Source organism: Homo sapiens, chromosome 8, assembly GCF_000001405.40.
Source record: "Homo sapiens chromosome 8, GRCh38.p14 Primary Assembly".
NCBI classification, from domain to species: Eukaryota; Metazoa; Chordata; class Mammalia; order Primates; family Hominidae; genus Homo; species Homo sapiens.
In genome coordinates, this window is record NC_000008.11 from 101,797,942 (window position 1) to 101,819,726 (window position 21,785).

At 35.8% G+C, this 21,785-nt stretch overlaps 1 protein-coding gene across 18 annotated transcripts in view; it reads right to left on the reverse strand.

Annotated features, from left to right (window-relative positions):
• The window catches only part of NCALD (neurocalcin delta), a 438,366-nt gene that overhangs the window by 111,400 nt on the left and 305,181 nt on the right, over nucleotides 1-21,785 (reverse strand). The window contains exon 1 of one of the 18 annotated variants that reach the window (XM_047422314.1): nucleotides 5,758-6,035. The exons of the other annotated variants lie outside the window; for them this stretch is intronic. The gene's annotated coding sequence lies outside the window, so the exon portion shown is untranslated. Of the gene's footprint in view, nucleotides 1-5,757; nucleotides 6,036-21,785 lie in introns of those variants that run through there. 18 annotated transcript variants of the gene reach the window in all.

Genomic DNA, 21,785 nt, shown 5'->3' on the forward strand with positions numbered 1-21,785 from the left:
AAAGTCCTAGAAGAAATTCAACACAATTCATGATAAAAACTCACAGAAAAATGAGTGAGAGGAATGTCCTTATCTTGATAAAAAGTATCTACCAAAAGTATACGGCTAATTTTATACTTAATAGTGAGAGTAAATATTTTCTCCTTAAGATTAGGAACCAGGTAAGGATGTACACTCTCACCACTGATTCAACAGCATGCCAAAAGTTCTAGCCATTTCAATAAGGTAAGGAAAAAACTTAAAGGCATACAGTTTGGAAAGGAAGAAATAAAACTGTTTCATTTGTGGATGAAATGATTATCTATATAGGAAACCCCAAGGAATCTGCAAAACAAACAAAACTTCCTGTAACTAATAGATGAGTTTGAAAAGATCACAGGATACAAGATAAACCTGAAAATCAATTGTATTTCTCTACACTAGTAATGAACATGTAGAGACTGAATTTTAAAATACAGTGCCATTTACAACTGCTCAAACCCAAATGAAATAAGTATAAATCTAACAAAACAGGTACAGGACTTGTATTCTGAAAACTACAAAATGCCAATGAAAGAAATCAAAGAAGGTTCAAATAAATGGAGACAGATGCCATGTTTATAGATTGAAAGATTCAACATAGCAAAGATATCAACTAACCTCTAACTGATTTACAGAATTAACACAATTCTAATCAAAATCTCAGCAAGATTTGTTACAGATATATATAAAATTATTCTGAAATTTATTTTGAAAAAGAAAGGAAATAAATAGCTGAAATAACTTTGAAAAAAAGGAATAAAATGGAAGCCATCAGTCTAGCTGATTTCAGAACATATTATATAGCTACGATGATCAAGACTGTGGGATACTGGCATAGGGACAGACATGTACATCAATGGAACAGAATGGAGAACCCAATAGCTCACCACATAAATATGACCAATGGATTTTTGACAAATCTGCAAAGGCAATTCAATGGAAGAAGAATATTTTTTTCAACATATGGTACTGGAACAACACCAAAATCATAATCTACAAAATAAGTAATTGATAATATAGACAAGGACCTGTTAAGAAGATGAAAAGACAAGCTACAGGCTGGTGGGGAAATATTTGCAAATCAAATATTTGACAAAGGACTCATATCTAGGACATATAAAGAACTCTCAAAACTCAACAGTAAAACACACAATCCAACTAGAGAATAGACAAAAGACATGAAGAGACATTTTATCAAAGAATATACACAGATAACAAACAAGTATAAAAAAAAATTTTCAACATCATTAACCATTAGGGAAATTCAAGTTAAAACCATAATGAGATCAGAATAGCTAAAATAAAAAATAGTGACACTACCAAATGCCAGCAAGGATGCAGAGAAACTTATTCATTCATTGCTGGTGGGAATGTAAACTAATAAAGATACTATGAAAAACAATTTGCCAGTTGCTTTGAAAAATTAAACAAGTTACTATCATGCAACTCAGCAATTGCACTTGGACATTCCAGAGAAACGAAGACACGCTAACACAAAAACCTGAACCTGCTTGCTTATAGCAGCTAGCTTTGTGACAGCCGAGAACTGGGAACCACCCAGAGGCTTTGGGTGGATGAATGAGTAAATGAACTGTACTATATCCACACAATGGAATACTACTTAGTACTAAAATTGAATGAACGACTTATGCATACAAAAGCCAGCATGAATATCTAGAGAATTTTACAGAGCAGAAAAACAAGTCTCAAAAGTTCACACACTGTATGAATCCACTTCCGTAACATTCTTGAAATGACAAAATTATCGAAATAAAAAATAGATGAGTAGTTGCAAGGGGTTAAGGAGCAGGTAGGGAAGCCAGGAAAGTACGCTGGCTATAAAGGGTGGCAAGTAGGACCCTTGTGCACTGGACACCTTCTGTATCTTGACTGTATCAATATCAATATCCTGATTGTAATTTTGCACTGCAGTTTTGCAAGATGTTACCTTTGGAAGAAAATGGGTAAAAGGCATATGGGTTCTCTCTGTATTATTCTTACAACTGTATGTGAATCTACATTTATTTCAAGATAAAAGTTTAATTAGAATTTTTAAAATGAAGGTGAGATAAAATATTTTCAGTAAAAAACTGAGAGAATTAATTCCAACAGAATCACACCAAATTTCTCAAGAGTCATTTAGGCATAAGAAAAATGATTCCAGATGGAAACACAGACATATAGAAAGGGTAAATATATAGATAAACCTAAAGAAATACTAATTTTATAAAATTAGAATGTTGTGTGGGATATAAAATAAATGTAGATTTCAAATATAGACTATTAGCACAAAAGTAAAAGAGAGGAATAGAATTAAAGTGTCCTAGGACTCTTGCATTCTTGTATAAGTACAAATAGTCCCTTATTAGGTACAATGTAATCCTTGCAGTAGCTACTAAAAATAAACAAACAAACAAAAAAACTAAAGAACATACTGCTAATAAGCTAATAGAGGAGAAAAAATAATTTTAAAAATTACTTGATTCCCAAAAGAAGGAGGAAAAAAGAGCAATAAATAATAATAGAAAGAAATGGTAAGATTAAAGATGTAATCTTAAACATATCAATAATTACCATAATATATAAACTGACCAAATATTGCAATTAAAAGAAAATAAACATCATACTGTATTAATAGATATATTCTAACTCTTTGCTGTATGCAAGAGACACACTTTGAAATCAAGAGTACAGAAAGGCTAAAAGTAAAAAGATAGATACATATATATCACACAAACTCTACCAAGACAAAGCTGGTGTAGCAATATTACTATCAATACATAATACTTTATAGCTACTAGAGGCTGAGACAAGAGGATCACTTGAACCCAGGAAGTTGAGGCAGCAGTGAGCTATGGTTGTGGAGGAGAGGAGAGGTGGGGAGGGGAGGGGAGGGGAGAGGGGAGGAGGAAAAAGGAGAGGGGAGGGGAGAGGGGAGGGGGAAAAAAGGGGAGGGGGGAGAGAAGGGGAGGGGAGAGGAAGGGAGAAGAGGGGAGGGGAGAAGAGGGGAGGGGAAAGGAGGGGAGAAGAGGAAGGAAAGAAAACAAGGAAGGAAAGGGAAAGGATGAAGGAAAGAAAAGGAAAGGAAAAAGGAAAAGGAAAAGGGAAAGGGAAAGAAAGAGGAAGGAAGGAGGAAAAAGAAAGAGAAAGAAACAAAGAAAGAAAGAGTATAGCTATAGTACTTTATAGAAATATAAGCAAGAAGTGCTACTAAAGATATAAATACTTCATAATTTACCTTTCCAAATATGTACACATTTAATAGCATCAAGATAAATTTTAAAAATCACAATCAAAGTCTTAATTTAAAACATCTTTCTTGGTAACTTACACAACCAGCAGAAAAAAGTAGAAATATAGATTTAAATTACAAAATTAACCAATTTGACCTAATTAATATATTAGTCAATATTTGAAAAACGGTGACCTCAAAAATTGCAAAATACACATTTTTTTTTCAAATGTATTCACCAAAATTGGCTACATGCTGGGCCACAAGTAAGGTCTTGACACATTATAAATGACTGAAATCACAGAGAATACTCTTTGCAAACAGTGGATTAAAGCTAGGAATCAATATTAGAAAGACAAATAGAAAATCCCTGAATGGAAATTAAGCAATGCATTTCTCAGTTGTCCATGGGTTAAAGCCACATCTCTATGATTTACAAGCACACTTACTTTTTTTTTTTTTTTTTTTTTTTTTTTTTTTTTTTTTTTTTGAGACGGAATCTCCCTCTGTCGCCCAGGCTGGAGTGCAGTGGCACTATCTCGGCTCACTGCAAGCTCCGCCTCCCGGGTTCACGCCATTCTCCTGCCTCAGCCTCCCAAGTAGCTGGGACTACAGGTGCCCGCCACCATGCCCAGCTAATTTTTTGTATTTTTAGTAGAGACGGGGTTTCACCCTGTTAGCCAGGATGGTCTCCATCTCCTGACCTCGTGATCCGCCCGCCTCGGCCTCCCAAAGTGCTGGGATTACAGGCGTGAACCACCGCGCCCGGCCAGCATACTTCCTCTTATTGTGCTTTGCTTTACTGTGCTTCACACATACTGTGATCTTTACAAACTGAACGTTTGTGGCAACCCTGCATCAAGCAAGGCTAGCCGTGCTGTTTCTCCAACAGCATGAGCTCAAATCATGTCTCTGTGTCACATCTGGGTAATTCTTGCAATGTTTTTAAACATTTTTCATCTGTTATGGTGATCAGTAATCAGTAATCAGTAATCTTTGACGTTACTTTTGTAATTGCTTTGGGGCACCACAAACCATGCCCATAAAATATGAAAAACTTAATTGATAGATGTGTGTGTTCTGACTGCTCCATTGATTGGCCTTCCCTCATCTCTCGCCCTCCCCTGGAGCTTCCCTATTCCCCGAGATACAACGTTAAATTAATAATCCCACAATGGCCTCTAAGAGTTCAAGTGAAAGGAAGAGTTGCATGTCTCTCACTTTAACTTAAAAGCTAGAAATGATTAGACTTAGTGAGAAAAGCGTGTTGAAAGCCAAGACAGGCTGAAAACTAAGCCTCTTGTGCCAAACAGCCAACTATACTGCAAAGAAAAAGATCGTGAAGGAAATTTAAAATGCTACTACAGTGAACACACGAATGATTAAAAAAAAAAAGCAAAACAGCTTTATGTTCATATGTAGAAAGTTTTAGTAGCCTGGAGAGAAGATCAAATTAGCCACAACATTTCCTTAAGCCAAAGTCTGTTCTTAAGCCAGTCCCTAACTCTCTTCAATTCTATAAAGGCTGAGAGAGGTAAAGAAAATGCAGAATAAAACTTTGAATCTAGCAAAGGTTCATGAAGTTTAAGGAAAGAAGCCATCTCCATAACATAAAAGTGCAAGATGAGGGCAACCCGCTCGGGTCCCCTTCCACGCTGTGGAAGCTTTGTTCTTTCGTTCTTTGCAATAAATCTTGCTGCTGCTCAAAAAAAAAAAAAAAAAAAAATGCAACATGAAGCAGCAAGTGCTGATGGAGAAGCTGCAGCAAGTTATGCAGAAGATCTAGCTAAGATCATTGATGAAGGTGACTATACTTCAAAACAGATTTTCAATGTGGATGAAATCGCCTCTGATTGGAAGAAGATGCCATCTAGAACTTTCATAGCTAGAGAGAAGTCAATGGCTGGCTTCAAGGCTTTAAAAAACAGGCTGACTCTTTGTTAGGAGCTAATGCAAGTGGTAACTTTAACTTGAAGTCAGTGCTCATTTACCATTCCAAAAAATTGTAGGGCTCTTAAGAATTATGCTAAGTCTACTCTGCCTGTGCTCCATAAATGGAACAACAAAGCCTGGATCACAGTACATCTGTTTACAGCATGGGTTACTATGTTAAGCCCATTGTTGAGACCTACTGCTCAGAAAAAAAGATCCCTTTCAAAATATTACTGGTAATTGACAATGCACCTGGTCACTCAAGAGCTCTGATGAAGATATACAAGGAGATTAATGTTGTTTTGATGCCTGGTAACACAACATCCATTCTGCAGCCCATGGATCAAGAAGTAATTTCAACCTTCAAGTCTTATTATTTAAGAAGTGCATTTCATAAGACCATAGCTCTTAAAGTATATAAATAGTGATTCCTCTGATGGATCTGGGCAAAGTAAATTGAAAACCTTCTGGATAAGAGTAATTATTCTAGATAACATTAAGAAGATTCATGATTCATGGGAGGAGGCCAAAATATCAATATTAACAGGAGTTTGGGAGAAGTTGAGTCTAACCTTCATGGATGACTTCCTATAGGGGTTGAAGACTTCAGTGGAGGAAGTAACTGCAGATGAAAGTGGTTTCTTGAGATGGAATCTACTTCTGGTGAAGATGCTGTGAATGTTGTTGAATGACAATAAAAGATTCAGAATATTACATAAAGTATGTTGACAAAGCAGCAGTAAGGTTTGAGAGGATTGATTCCAATTTTCTACTATGGGTAAATGCCATCAAACAGCACTGCATGCTACAGCAAAATCCATGATGAAAGGAAGAGCCAACCGATGTGGTAAACTTCACTGTTGTCTTATTTTAAGAAATAGCCATAGCCACCCCAACCTTCAGCAATCGCCAGCCTGATCAGTCAGCAGCCATCAATACTGGGGCAAGACACTCCACCAGCAAAAAGATTAGAACTTGCTGAAGGCTCAGACGATCATTAGTAATTTTTAGAAAATAATTTTTTATATCACAGTAATTTGTGAAAATGCATTATTAGCATTTTTAGAAAAATTATTTTCTAAAAATTAGCAATTTTAGAAAATAATATTTTATATTCCAATAACCTATAAAAATGCATTATCTCTAAATATATACTATTTATAACTATTATATATAATTATATCAATTATATATTATATATAATTATATCAATTATATATTATATATAATTATATCAATTATATATTATATGTTACTATATATAGAAATATATATATTTCTAAATATATACTATTTATAACTGTAATATATAATTGATATAATTAATTATATAATATATAACAAAGATTATTATATAATATATAATTAATATAATTAATTATATAATATATAACAAAGATTATATAATATATAATTAATATAATTGATTATATAATATATAATTAATATAATTAATTATATAATATATAATTAATATAATTAATTATATAATATATAATTAATATAATTAACTATTATATATTAGTATAATATAATTATCATATAATATAATTAATAAATTAATACCTAATTATATATAAATAATTATAATAAAATATAATGCTTTTAAAAACATAATGCCATTTCACACTTAATAGATTACTGTATAGTATAAACATAACTTTTATATGTACCGAGAAACCAAAACATTTGTGTGACTCACTTTATTGCAATGTTCACTTTCACTTTATTGCAGTGGGCTGGAATCAAACCTGCAATACCTCTGAGAAATGCCTGTACACTGCAACCTATAAACATTTTGAACTGAATGACAAAAATATATCAAAACTTACATGCAACACTACTTAATGACTCGGCATATATATGTTTATGTTAAAACTGAGGTTCTACTTTTGAAGTGGCACTTTGAAAAGCTCCATGGACCTGTTCCCCAATGACTTAAGTATAACTTGTGAAAATACTTTTTAAAATCATATATATAAAGTCCCTAATAATCCTTCTAAGGGCATATAGACAATGCAGAAACATTCATTCAAGAAAATATACTAAAACTCTGAAAGAACACTGAGGATCTGGAGCACTTGAATTAAGATCCAGTTCCTCCTTAACCCTCAGCTCAGTTTGATAAAAGCTCCTCCCTTGAGAAGATGTGGCCAATAAGTCTGGCCTCCTTTTCCCATTAGCTCTCAGTCAAGGAATATAATTATCTCCTTGGAAAGGTAGGACACCAGCCTTTCTTCAGCTCTAAGGTTAGTGAGTGCACCCAAGAGGTTGGAGACTCCCTTGTTCTATCTATCCTCCATTCATAAGGCAGAGACTCTACTCTAAGCACAGCAGATCAAAAATACCAGGGCTCGTATTGCCCTCAATGCAGCTTGCTTTTAGAGTAGAGGTTCTATGCCAGGGAAGGCAATTTGAGAAGACTAGAGTCTACTATCACTGCCTCATGCCTAAAGCAGTTATTCAGAAATTTTTCCCAGATGGAGAGGCCGTCCATAAGAACAGAGAGCTCTGAAGCTCTCCCCCAAAGGAGCTGACTTTATTTGTAATAGAGTGTGTAAAAGTTCAAGTTTAAGGGTGCTCTCAAAAACAATGGAGATTTTGATGGTAAACAATTGAGAGGAGGTGGATAACTATAGAAGAGCAAAAGCTAACCTGCAGACCAGCTAGTTTATCAAAGAGAACTAGGAAAGGAGATAGCTAAAAACATCATTCCTGGGATGAGAACAAGCCTCAAATATCAACCGCCAGAACTTCACTGGATGAATTTAATTGGATCAGACTTAAATAATTTATGCCCAAGAGCATTTAAGAAATACTAGAAAAATCAGCAAAAAATTAGTGGAGCCTAACAGCTGGGTGTGATATCAAATGAAGCAGACCATATAACAGAGAGACTGGGAAAGAGACGGCCAAATATAGCTCTACCAAAACCAGTCATTCCAGGGTGATGTGAGTATGCCCAAGGCTGTGCCCTCTGAAAATAAATAGTGAAGGCTTTGCAGTGTAGGGAAAATAGACCTCACTAAAATAGTTTAATCAAGTCATTAAAAACAACAACAAAAAACCCCCAAGCAAACAGCAACAGAAACTCCAGAGAAGAGAGAAGAATCAGAATCCCAAATTCCTATACTATATTACCTTAAAGGTCCAGCTTTTAATGAAAAGTCATGAGACATCCAAAGAAAAAGGAAAATGTAACTCATACACGGGAAAAAAAGCAGAGAAAGAAACTATCTGTGAGATGATTTAGATGTATTTTAGAAAGATTTCAAAGCAGCTATTATAAATATGTTAAAAGAACTAAAGAAAATCATACTTTATGAAGTAAAAGAGGCTACAATGACAATGCCTCATCAAATAGAGAATATCAATAAAGAGATAGAAATTATATTAAAAAACCAACTGGAAATGCCAGAGTTTAAAAGTAGAATAACTGAAATGAAAATTTCACTACAGAGAAATGATAGTAGATTTAAATGGGTGGAAAAAAGAATGAGTGAGGCTGAAAATAGTTTGGTAGAGAACATGCAATCTGAAGAGCAGAAAGAAAAAGAATGAAGAAAATGAACAGAGACAGCCTCAGAGAATTATTGGACATCAATATGTGTATAAAACACATGCACCTATGCACACAATTCCCAATTTAAATAAAAGCATTAATGTACACATTAAAGAAGCTAATGAACTCCAAACAGGATAAACACAAATAGATCCACACCCAGACATATCATAGTTAAAATGCTGAAAGACAAAGACAAAAAAAAAAAATTGAAAGCAGCAAGAGAAAAATGGCTCATTACATGTAAGGAAACCTTAATAAGATTAACAACTGACTTAGCAGAAACAATGGAGGCCAGAAGCCAGTGGGATTACATATTTAAAGTGCTGAAAGAAGACAGCTGTCAACCAAGAAGCCTATATCCAGCAAAACTATCTTTCAAAAATGAAGGCAAAAATAAAGATATTACTAGATAAACGAAAACAGACCAAATACATTGATAGTAGATCTACTTCACAAGAAATACTAATGGAAGTTCTTCATGCTTAAAGCAAGTGACCTCGGATAAAAAGAGTATCAGAAAAGGTAATTGTGTAATTATAAAAGATGTCACAAATGCATATTTCTTCTTCTTTCTTCTCTTGGCTCATTAAAAAAGCAATTGTATAAAACTATATATATAATTGTATATTGGAGTTGTAAAGTACAGAATTGTAAAATATTGTTGTAAAATATTCAACAACAACAGCACAAAGGAAAAGGGGGAAGAGCAAAGCTGTATTAGAGTAAGAAAATAACACCATATGGTAATTTGAATCCACAGGTATAAACAGAGAACCAGAAAAGATGCAGAAACATAGACCAGAAAAATTAAATCATTTGCCCAGGATCAAAAAGCCAAAGAATTTTGATACTAATTCAACACCTTATTAATAGGGTTATCTGGTTTTACAACCCAATAGACATAGCAAAGTAGAATAAAGCCAAGGTGCTCAAGAAAGCAAAACCAACATCTGAAAGGCACATACAAACTGTTAGAAGCAGACACAAAAATCTTCCAAATCACCATCACTTGCAGTCATAAAGGGTTACAGCAAAGTTACTGAAATACTGGTAAAAATAGCACCCTTGCATTGTGCTTTATAATTTACATAGCACTTTCACAATTCTATTTTCTTTGACCCTGAATTAATAAAAGCATTTAATTTTTAAAATGGCTGATAATCCATGATTTAAATTTCTATCTCATAGTTGGGAAAAGAAGAGCATCATAAAACTAAAGAAAGTAGAAAGAAGGAAATAATAAAATGAGAAGAAACTATGGAATGGAAAACAAGGTATAATAGAGAAAAATGAGAAGATAGAAGTTGGTACTTTGAACAAATTAATAAAAGTAATAACTCCTTAGAAGAGTGATCAAGAAAAAAAGAGAAGTCTCAAATTACCAATATCTGTAATAAAAAGGGAACATAATTACAGATCTTACAGCTGTTAAGAAATAACAGATTTCACAGGCTCTAGAAGATACCTTAGTGGTCACCCAGTCCTAACTACCTTTCAGTGAAGAAATCCCCTCTAGACTGTCACTAAGGAGTAGTAAGCACCTGCTGCTTGAATACTTTCCAGTAACAGTGAGCTCTCCATTACAAAATGTCAGGTCTTACAATTGTGGAACTACTCTAACTGTTAGAAGGTTCCTTATGATGAACCAAATGTCTCCTCCCTAAAACTTTACTATAAGATTTAAGTTTTTCTCTTTGATACTATGTTCACATGGCTGCCCTTCAGAGATCTCAAGGAGCGGCTATTACATCTGTGGCAGCAGTTGCTAATTGTCCTCTAATATCCATTTTCTCTTTCTTCCATAGATATAGAATCTTTAGCTTGTTAATAGCTGCAAAGAATAAAGACATTTCCTAACTCCCCTTCTAGCTCTGTGGCTTTATGATTAAGAACAGGCCAATGGGATGTAAATAGATATGTCATGTGGTAGCTTCCAGAATTTTCCTTAAAAACAAATAGGCAAACAAACTTGTCTAAGACTTTTGCCCCCTTTTTATGTTAATTCCTTTTACCATTCTACTGCTTGGGACCATGAGTATGGTGACTACCACTGTAGACCATAAGGAAGTGGGCTGTACACCCTAAAGATGGATGGCGGGGCTGTAAGCTGGAAGAAGCTTAGGTTCCTGAAGACTTCTTGGAGAAAAGCTGCCATTTCAAGGCTACATTGCTTTTCTATGGACTTTTACATGAAAGAGAGAGAGGGAGAGAGACAGAGAGAGAGAGGGAGAGACATAAAGAGGGAGATTTCCATTTTATTTAAGATACCACTATTACATGCCAAACCTATTCCCAACTGTTAGCATGTCCACCATCAAAAACATCTTGTGCAAGTGAAATATCACATGTTTAATAAGCTGTGGAATGTTATAAAATTTCCAGGAGTCCCTAAAGAAGAAAATAGAAGTGCGTTCTAAAAGCATTGCAGAAGAAATACTGGAAAACAGCTCTTTATTTCTCTGAGTATTAAATTAGTAAACTTTAATATTTGGTAATGTTCATGCAAAGACTGTTTAAAGTCTTCCTGGACATGGAAGAGTCATATGGATTGATGTCTAAGAAAAAGAAGAAAAGAGACATCAAAATCACTACAGGAGTAAAAATGGCCTCTTCTTTCACCCTGCCTGCCTGCCTTTTTGCAGTTTGAATGAGGTAAATAATTCTTTTCTCAGAGAGAAAGAGTTTCTCACAGGAAACTAAGGATTTTGTTTTCTAAGAAAATGGTCCACAAATCACCTCTTTATATTTAATCTCCCATATAAAAGGAAAGTTACAAAATATTATTTTTCCATCAACAGCATCCAGTACAATTAGCACAAATGTTATAATAGAATCTGTGTTTTTGCTCTTTTTTAATTTCTATTTATTTATTTGAGACAGAGTCTCACTCTGTTGTGCAGGCTGGAGTGCAGTGGCATGATCTCAGTTCACTGCAAACTTCATCCCCCGGGTTGCAGTGATTCTCCTGCCTCAGCCTCCTGTAGCTGGGATAACAGGCATGCGCCACCACACCCAGCTAATTTTTGTATTTTTAATAGAGACGGGGTTTCACCATGTTGGCCAGACTGGTCTTGAACTCCTGATCTCAAGTGATCTGCCTGCCTCAGCCTCCCAAAGTGCTGGGATTACAGGTGTGAACCACCGCACTTGGCCTGCTCTCTTTTTTTTAAAGATTGTTTCAAGACCATGAATCTCTCTTTGCTGTCAGGCTGACACTACTGTACATTTATAAATCTGACTTTTATGAATCATCACAAATTCTATTTCTCTCTGTTCCAAAGAATGAGGAAGTAGGGCTGAGCAGAGTGATAAATGTAGATTCTTTCCATGTGGTGCCTGTGTTGACAGTGCAACGCCTATAAACAAGAACAGAGAAGCAATTCTAAAATTGATCTCCAGCTTAAAGTCACACATTTTGTTGAGTTTCTGTGCAAAATGTTGGCACCAAGGACTCTTGCTGTGTTATAATAGAGAGAGTATAAACTTTGAAGTCAGGCACACTCTGAATTAAACATGGACTCCCCAAATATGACTTTTTATCTCTGTGACTTTAGGACAATTTACTTAACCCCTTTATGCCTTGATTGTATTGTCTGTAAGTTGGCAATATTTGTAACTACCTTGCACGGTGGTTATAAGGAGTAATGTTCAAATTTAGCAGTGTATCTCGTACAGTTAGACTGAAAGAGCTACTCTCTATAATTAAGGAGAATAATTAAGAAATGTGCTATTTAAGGTCCAGTTTACCCTAAGTTATGCTTTCTAAAAAATGGATCTGCTAGAAATGTGATTTTTCTGCTTCCACTCAATTCCTTAGTCAGTAAATTAAAACAGTTCTTAACATCAGGAGAATTATGAATTTATATTTATATTTTCATAGCCCAAATTTCCATTTAGTAGCATCTGATGACAGTATAAACCACAGCCTAGGATAATATTTAGCCTATTAAATTCATTTTTTTACAAGAGAGAGGAAATAGGACATTAGTTTATTACTTTGCTGATATTAGCATCTCTTCTAAAAAAGCTTTCCCTAAAAAAGCACACACCACATACTCCAAGAGCTGCTAATGCCTATTTCTTTTTTTAATGCAAAAGCTTTTCTATCATAACCCTTACACAGATTTATATAAATCAATGTTCTAACACTGTAATAGAGGTGAATCTTGCTTTAATAAAATCAAATATATAAAAATCCTAATGCAGAAAAATAATTAATTAGGACATTTAAAGCATAACTATCCGCTCCTGGGAATATTTTAAAAAATCAATTTCAGAAAAAAAATGTTTATTATGAATTATCAGAAAGTCACTTGAATAAAGGAAGCAGCCATCAATATTGTTCCAATAGTCAGACTACTGATTTCAGTTGTGTTTGGGCAATGTGATAAGCAGATTCATGCTCCCCTGTACCTGCCCCCCATGTGTCCTGTCCTAATCCCTGGAACCTGTGAGTATGTTATCTCACATGTCAAAGAGGAATTAAAGTTGCCAATCAGCTGACCTTAAAATAGAGAGATTATCCTGAATTATACAGTGAACCCAATGTAATCACAAGAGTTCTTTAAAGTAGAAGAAGAAGGTAGAAATAGGGCAGCATAAGAGGGTCTTGGACCACTGCAGTTGGCTAGGAAGATGGAGGAAGGGGCCATGAGCCAAAGATGTAGGCAGCCTCTAGAAGCTGGAAAAGGAAAGGAAGTTGATCCTCTCCTAGAGGCTACAGAATTGAACAAAGCCTGCCTACACCTTAGCCCAGTGAGACCATTTTGGAGCTCTGAACTCTAGTACTGTAATACACTAAATTTGCATTGTTTAAAGCCACCAAGTTTGTGATAATTTGTTATAACAGCAATAGGAAATTAATACAGGCAACAAATGCGTGCTGAGTGCATGGTCTGAGCAAGACTTTATGAAAGAAGCAAAGATAAGCACTTAAAACGGTAATAGGGAAGAAAATGGGAGAGAGTTTAAGTATCCCAAGAGAAGTACAGCAAAGTGCTGTGGGGCCTCAGGGGAGGGAGATGTTCCTTCCAGCTGGGAGTGAACCCATTACGGAAAAACCTACTGCAGGGTCTTCACAACAGGCCTCCCAGAGGTAAAAGGTTGCCTAGTTGGCTTTTGGTAGTTTCTGTCAAGTCCTCTGATTCTAGAATTTCTATTTACAAAAGGACTTAAATTGCATGGACAATTTTCAAGAACTAGCCCATGTGGCTTATATCAGAGAACGTGCTAAACACAAGCAAGAAAAGAAATCAAAGAACTGCACTGCTCTTTTTCTATCATCTACAATTCAAATCTAGCATTGCAGAAAAGATTTGTTCTCAGAATGGAGTGGGATGGTTAATTTACACAGCTATCCTGGGAACCTGTCCTGTTAAACCTGCCTTGAGGCTATGTTGCTTTTCCATACTCTTATCTGTGGAAAATGACAACATCGGTTTTCTAAGTAGTTATCAACCAAAGAACCAAATGCAAGTTCTCTCTTAAGAGGCAGTGTGGTCATTCAAAGGGCACTGGGTAGAGACTCAGGGATAAAATCCAGCCCCTTATTACTATCACCAAAGCAGTCTATGAATCAAGCTCATCACCAAAGCAGTCTATGAATCAAGCTCATCACTAAAGCTTTTAGGGCCTAAATTTTTCTACATCCAAAATGAGATGTTCAGTTATTGAGTTTTCCATAATGTAAAGTCAATATCCTCTGAGCTCAGCAACTTAACTAAAGAGAAGTGAGAGCCCAGACAGTCTGGATCCACTTTGTGTCATGGCTGGGAAGGACTAAAAAAAAATTTCCAGAACATCAAGACTTGACACTGGCTTTTTCTCCAAGCAATTTTTCATAAGAAACTTCACCGTGAAATCCTCAGTTGACAGTAAAGAGAGTCAAAACAAAAATGGGAACTGAGAGGCAATAGGGAGTTACCCTCATCAGAGGAAAAGAATAATGGATAAAACGAAGATGTATGACCCATGAAGTCTGTCCACTTGGGATTGAGTAACAATGGAACCTTCTAAAAGAATTAGGGGCTTGAAGTCAGATTCCTACGAGCAGGAGTTCCCAGTTACAGTCTCTGAACTCCTCAGGGCCTCTGTAGTTCCTACAATTCCTCTTTAGATTCTCTGAGCCACCTCAGTATCATACCAATAATTCCTCTTTTTTCCTAAGCCAGTTTGAGTGGGTGTTCTATCACTTGAAAGCAAATGAGCACATACAAACACAATCAGCACATCTTTGTTCTTTACTGAATTAATGCCACTGACTCCTGAAAATGGAAAAAAAACTTGGAGATTTTCCACCTCAGTTCATTTGTTCATTTTTTCCTTTGAAAATCTTCAATGGGTGCTTTCTGTGTGGCAGGCAATGTGCTAGGCTGGGGGAGATAGCAGTGAACAAGAAAGACACAGACCTTGGCCTCATGATACAGTTATTGAAGAATTTAAACATTTAATAAATAATGAGTGATACAGAAAGATAGCTACTGGTGCTTGTCCAGGAGGATCTAACTCAGTCTTGAGTTTTACAGAAGGGCTCCCTAAGGATATGACCTTTGAGTCAAGAAGAAAGAGGAATGAGCCAGATGAGGAGTTGGGAGAAGTGCTGAGCAGAGAAAAAGGTGTGATTAAAACCACTGCAGCATGGCATGTTAGAGGAATTGAAAAGGATACCAGAATTCCAGAATGCTAAGAAGAGTAAGGAGCACATGATGAACTGGGCAAACATGGGACAGCTTAGGGAGGGTTTTGTAAGCCAGTGTATCAAGGAGGTAACTGAGTTACTTGCTCAAGGATACACAGCTAGTCGGTGGCAGATTGAAACCTATGTCATTTGATTTCGAGACCAATTTAAAATATTTTAAGTAAAGTCCTTTAAAAATTTTCCCCCATTTCTAAAGGTAACACATACTCATTATAGAGTGAACATATTTTCTATTGGCACAAAAACCACTATGTAAATGCCCCCCAGGTTTTGCATTACACAGCTTGCACAATGTACATGGAAGGCTTGAATGACATCACATCATCACCCTCAGAAAATAGAACATCTGCAGAAACTAGACATCTTTAAAATGGCTTTTATTATAGGATTTGGTCCAGATTTTGCCAAAGAAAACTCTCAAGATTAGAATTCATGGTGAAAATCTGTCCATATACATAAAAGACCCCCTATCCTTCCCCACATGTCAGATGCTTGCCCATTTTTACTACATAAAACTGCAGACTTGAAGATAATCTGGTGATTATACTCGGAAAAGTATCTCTGGAAATGTTATCAAAATAAATAATCTGAATAGGCCTTTATATATTAAAGAAATTGAAACAATAATTAATACCCTTACAAAATAGAAAACACCAGGCCCAAATAGGTTCACTGGTGAATTCTACCAAACATTTAAGGAAGAAGTTATACCAATTCTCAATGATCTCATTCAGAGTACAGAAGAAAGCAGACTTCCTAACTCATTCTATGTGGCCAGCATTATCCTAGTACCAAACCCAAAGACATAACAAAAAAACTATGAACTAATATCTTTCATAAACATAGATGCAAAATCTTCAATAAAAAATTAGCAAATTGAATCCAACAATATATTTTTAAAATTATACTCCATAACCACATGGGATTTATGCCAGGTATGGTTTAACATTCAAAATCAATTAATGTAATTAATCGCATCAACAGGCTAAAAAAGAAATATCACACGATTATATCAAAAGATCAAAAAAGCATTTACAAAATTCAACACCTACTCATGATTAAAAACTCTCACTAAACTGGGAATAGAGGGGAATGTTCCTAACTTGACAAAGAATATCTACAAAAAACCTACAGCTAGCATCATACTTAAGATGATAAACTCACAGCTTCCCACTAAGAACAGGAATAAGGCAAGGGTGTCTCTACTCATTTGCAACATCATACTGGAATGACGCAATAAGAAAAAGAAACAAAAGGTAGACAGATTGGGAAGGATGAAATAAAACTTTGTTTGCAGGTGACATGATCATCTAGGTAGGAAAGCCAAAAGAATCAAAAAACTCCTGTACTAATAAGGGATTATAGCAAGGTTGCAGGATACAAAGTTAATTACTTTTTTATATACCACCAATGAACAAACAAAATTTGAAATTAAAAACACAATACCATTTACATTGGCATCCTCCAAAGTGAAATACTTAGGTATTTCTAACAAATATGAATGAGATCTAACATAAATCTAACAAATATATATGAGATCTTTATGAGGAAAACTATAAAACTTTGATGAACAAAATCAAAGAACTAAATAAATAAAGAGATATTCCATGTTTATGGATAGGAAGACTCAATATTGTCAAGATGTCAGTTCTTCCTAACTTGATCTATAGATTCAAAGCAATCCCAATTAAATTTCCAGCATGTTATTTAGTGGATATTGACAAACTTATTATAAAGTTTATATGGAGAGGCAAAAGACCCAGAATAGCCAGCCAACATTGAAGGAGAAGAACAGAGCTGGAGGACTGACATTACTTGACTTCAAGTCTTACTATAAAGCTACAGTAATAAGACAGTGTGGTACTGGTGAAAGTGGACAAATAGATCAATGGAACAGAATAGAGACCTCAAAAATAGACCCACATAAATACAGTCATCTGATTTTTGGCAAAGGAGAAAAGGCAATACAATAGAGCACAGATAGTCTTTTCAACAAATGGTGCTAGAACAATTGGATATCCACATACAAAAAATAAATCTAGAAAAAGGACTCTTAAAACTCAACAATAAGAAAAGAAACAACTTGATTAAAATGTGGCCCAAAGACTTTAACAGATATCTCACCAAACAAGATATGCAGACGGCAAGTAATCATATGAAAAGATGCTTCACATTAGATGTCATCAGGGGAATGTAAATTAAAATGAGATACTACAACACATCTATTAGAACGCCCAAAATATGGAACACTGACATCACCAAGTGCTGGTGAGAATGTGGAGCAACAGAAACTCTCATTCACTGCTGGAATGCAAAACAGTACAGCCACTTTGGAAGACAGTTTGACAGTTTCTTACAAAACTAAACATACTCTTAATATATGATCCAGCAATCACACTCCTTGGTATTTACCTAAATAAGCTGAAAACTGATGTCCAAACAAAAACCTGTACACAGGTGTTTATAGTAGCTTTATTCATAATTGCCAAAACTTGAAACAACCAAGATGTCCTTCAGTAGGTAAGTGGATAAACTGTGGTACATCCAGACAATACAATATTATTTAGTGCTAAAAAAGAATGAGCTACAAAACCACGAAAAGACAGGGAGGGTCCTTAAATACATATTACTAAATGAAAGAAGACAATATGAAAAGGCTACATACTGTATGATTCCAACTATAAGACGTTATTTTAAAAAGGCAAAACTATGGATACAATAAAAAGATAAGTGGTTTCCAGAGGGTCAGAGGGAGGCGGATTTACATAGATGGAGCAGAGTATTTTTATGGCAATGAAACTATGCATATGATACTGAAAGGTGGCAGAATATGCACCCCAAAATATTTCACTGTGGTATAAGGATTATTTTGAGAAAAACACACTTATAAAACAGTATGCAAGAAGGAGACTCTAATCTCCCTAATTTCTTCCTGAAAACAGGAGATAAAAACTACCATGTGAAAGACGTCCTCTCTGTACCAAAAGAAAAGAAACATTCTGTGGTGGAAAGTCATGGCTGGAAGAATTCTATACAAACAGGCCTTGTAAAAATAATTCACATCTTACTTTTGCTGTGCCCCCCGCCAACATAATTTAGTTACTTTTTCACAATTGCCTGTCTTTGTTCAACCTAATGTAGAAGCATTTATGTTTTGTCACTTCTTTGGGTCTTCATTTCCTTATGAGGAGGGCTCCTGTGTCATATAAAACTTGAATTAAATTTGTATGTTTTTCTCCTGTTGATCTGTCTTATGTCAATTTAATTCTTGGGACCAGCTAAAAAACCCTAAGAAGCAGAGGTAAAATGTCCCCGCTACAATACTATGATGGTGGATTCATGTCATTACACATTTGTCCAAACCCATAGAATGTACAACACCAGGGGTGAACTGTAATGCAAACTATGGACTTTGGGTGATTATGTGTCAAAGTAGGTTCATCAGTTGTAACAAATGTGCCACTGTGGATGTTGACAATGAAGGAGGTTATGCATGTTGTGGGGGCAGGGGTAAATGAGACATCTCTGCATCTTCCTCTTAACTTTGCTATAAACCTAAAACTACGCTTTAAAAAGTGTCTTTAAAAAAAAAACGAAATCAGCACATCCCCTGCTCTCTTCACGGCTTGCCCTTCAGAGTGTTTCTATCCATTTTAAGCCCAGAAGATGATATTTTCATCACACAAGCCACAGAAGCCATTTAGGATGTTCCTGCCTCTCTTTGCACTTCTGGCCAGTCCAATTCCTTGGTTGAACCCAAACCGAGCCCTTCTGAGAATGATTCTTGTGCCAGAATAGAAGCCCCTGTTCTTCCTTCTGGGAAGGTGCTCTACAAGGCTAACACAGAATCAACTTTCTCCTCCTACTTGGTGGAGCCAGCAGAAGAGCCTCAGGGAGCGCCTGGGAAGCAGATCAAGCGCTTGATTAGGATGCCATCCTCTTCACAGTTAATTGGCAGATGATTTTAAAAGTTCATGCCTTGGAGTTTGTTCTTTCCGGATTGTCATTTCATTTTCTTGTCACCCACATTAAAAGAAAGTCTCTTTTGCTTGTCCGCACAGTTTCCAAGCCTAATAATAAATCACGGTTTCAGCCTCTTGCCTAGAATTTCTGACAGCATAAATAATGCAGGTGCCCAGAATAAAATGTAGTTATGTTGGTTTTTGCTTCTTTAGCCAAGCAGCTACCAAAAAAAAAAGGAAAGAGACTGAATTGATAGATACATTTTACTGTCCAGCTGCCAAGAAGGCATTGCCGACAATGAGGATTTCAGAATAATAACCCTAAAGAGAGGAGTTCAGAGCATCCCATTCACTGCCCAGCAGCCTGAAAGATGCATTGTTCCCGACAGGTCAGGTGGAAGACCCCTCCCGTGAATGCAGCATTCTGAGGAAATGCTAAGCCATCCATTTTTTAAAGACCCTCTGACACCAGAGATTTCAAACATGATTTGGTTCTCAAGGAGCAATACTATATCCTCACAGGTGTGGAATAATCAGACATCTAAGAACAGCAGTTTCTCCCAAAACAGCTGCGGGAAGGATAAAGATACAATCAGTTCATTTTAAATCTGTACGGTGGACTCTGTAGTTTCGTATTTGCATTCTGAGCACTTGTGGTCGGGCTATGAAGTCAGGCTTTCCAGCTGCTCGAGAGATGAGGCCCTGGTATGAGGACTTTGCCCTGGGAAGTATTTGGGCTCAGAAATATATTCTTTAAAATGTCAACATTTAAAAATTATAAAACATTATAAAGGGAAATGCTTAAAAATAAAACTTCCATCCATTCCATTATCATGCACAGGACCTTTTCTCCATTTTTCTCAGGCTCTCTTCTAATCTTTAATTTGACAAAGAAAAAAATAAACACTGTTACAGTAATAATATTTAGGTAGCGATTTCCTTGGTTTGTTTTGCAATTGGCACTGCACTGAGTGTTTCATGCAAATGACCTCACTTGATCTTCACGCTAGCCCCTGGAGGTAAGTACCATGATTACAGACAGGAGAATGCTGTCTTAGGAGAGCACACGGCACTCACCTGAGACACTAGACTTCACAGGTGGAGTTACATATTCATGTAAGAGCTGACACTCAATTCCAGAACATTGAGAAGCCAAAAATTTTCCCTCTATTTTTCAATCAATGTGGGCTAATAAATATCTTCCACAAGACTTCAACACCTCCATGTTTCTCCTCTTCATCTCTTTTTCAGTTTCTAGCCAAATTCCAGTGAACTAATATATCATACTATTTTTACCCATTTTCTGATTGCCACAGAGTTCAGTTGCTTCTAGATTTTCCCTATTATAAATAACAATATATAAGCATCTTTAGGGCCAGACGCAGCGGCTCATGCCTGTAATCCCAGCACTTTGGGAGGCCAAGACAGGTGGATCACCTGAGGTCAGGAGTTCAAGACCAACTGGTTAACATGGTGAAACCCCATCTCTACTAAAAATACAAAAATTAGCCAGGCATGGTAGCACATGCCTGTAATCCCAGCTACTCGGGAGCTGAGGCAAGAGAATCTCTTGAATCTGGGAGGCAGAGGTTACAGTGAGGAGAGATTGTGCCACTGCATTCCAGCCTGGGCAACAGAGTGAGACTCCATCTCAAAAAATAAATAAATAAATAAAAATAAGCATCTTTATACATCACTTTTCTTCCTTCAAGTTTCTTCTTTGGGAATAATCCTAAAGAGAGTGATTACTTAGCTGTAGGTATGAAAATTGTTATGCTTGTTGACAGAATTTCTCTTCAGACTTTTAAATGAACTGTAATTGTTACTGACACTAACAAGAATTGAATATACCATTTTCCCACAGGCTTGTCAGCACTACATCACATATATTTGTTTACTTATAAATACATAACTTTATTTATTTATTTATTTATTTATTTATTTATTTATTTATTGTTCTTAGTTTAATAAATGCCAAATAGTAGCTTAACATCATTTGGGTTTTTATTTCTTGAGTTACTGGAAAGGTTGAACATTTTAAAGATGTATTTGTTTGCCATTTGTATTTTCTTTTCTGTAAATTGTATTATGACCATTACTCCTTTACTTATTGAGACCCAGTTTTCAATTCTTCACCAGACATAGCTTTGCACATTCTTTCCCCAATTCCCAATTTATCCCAGTGAGATTATTATTCCTTATTTTTTACTATATAAGCGCTACATTGCTCTCCCCTGTAAATCTCTTCCCACCCCTTGGGTTTTGCCAGAATTGTTTGTTTGACAGCACCAGGCCATTTTTGACACTCATCCCTCATATATATCTGTATATATTATTTAAAAGATTTGGGATCTTAAAGAAGGAATGAACTCATTT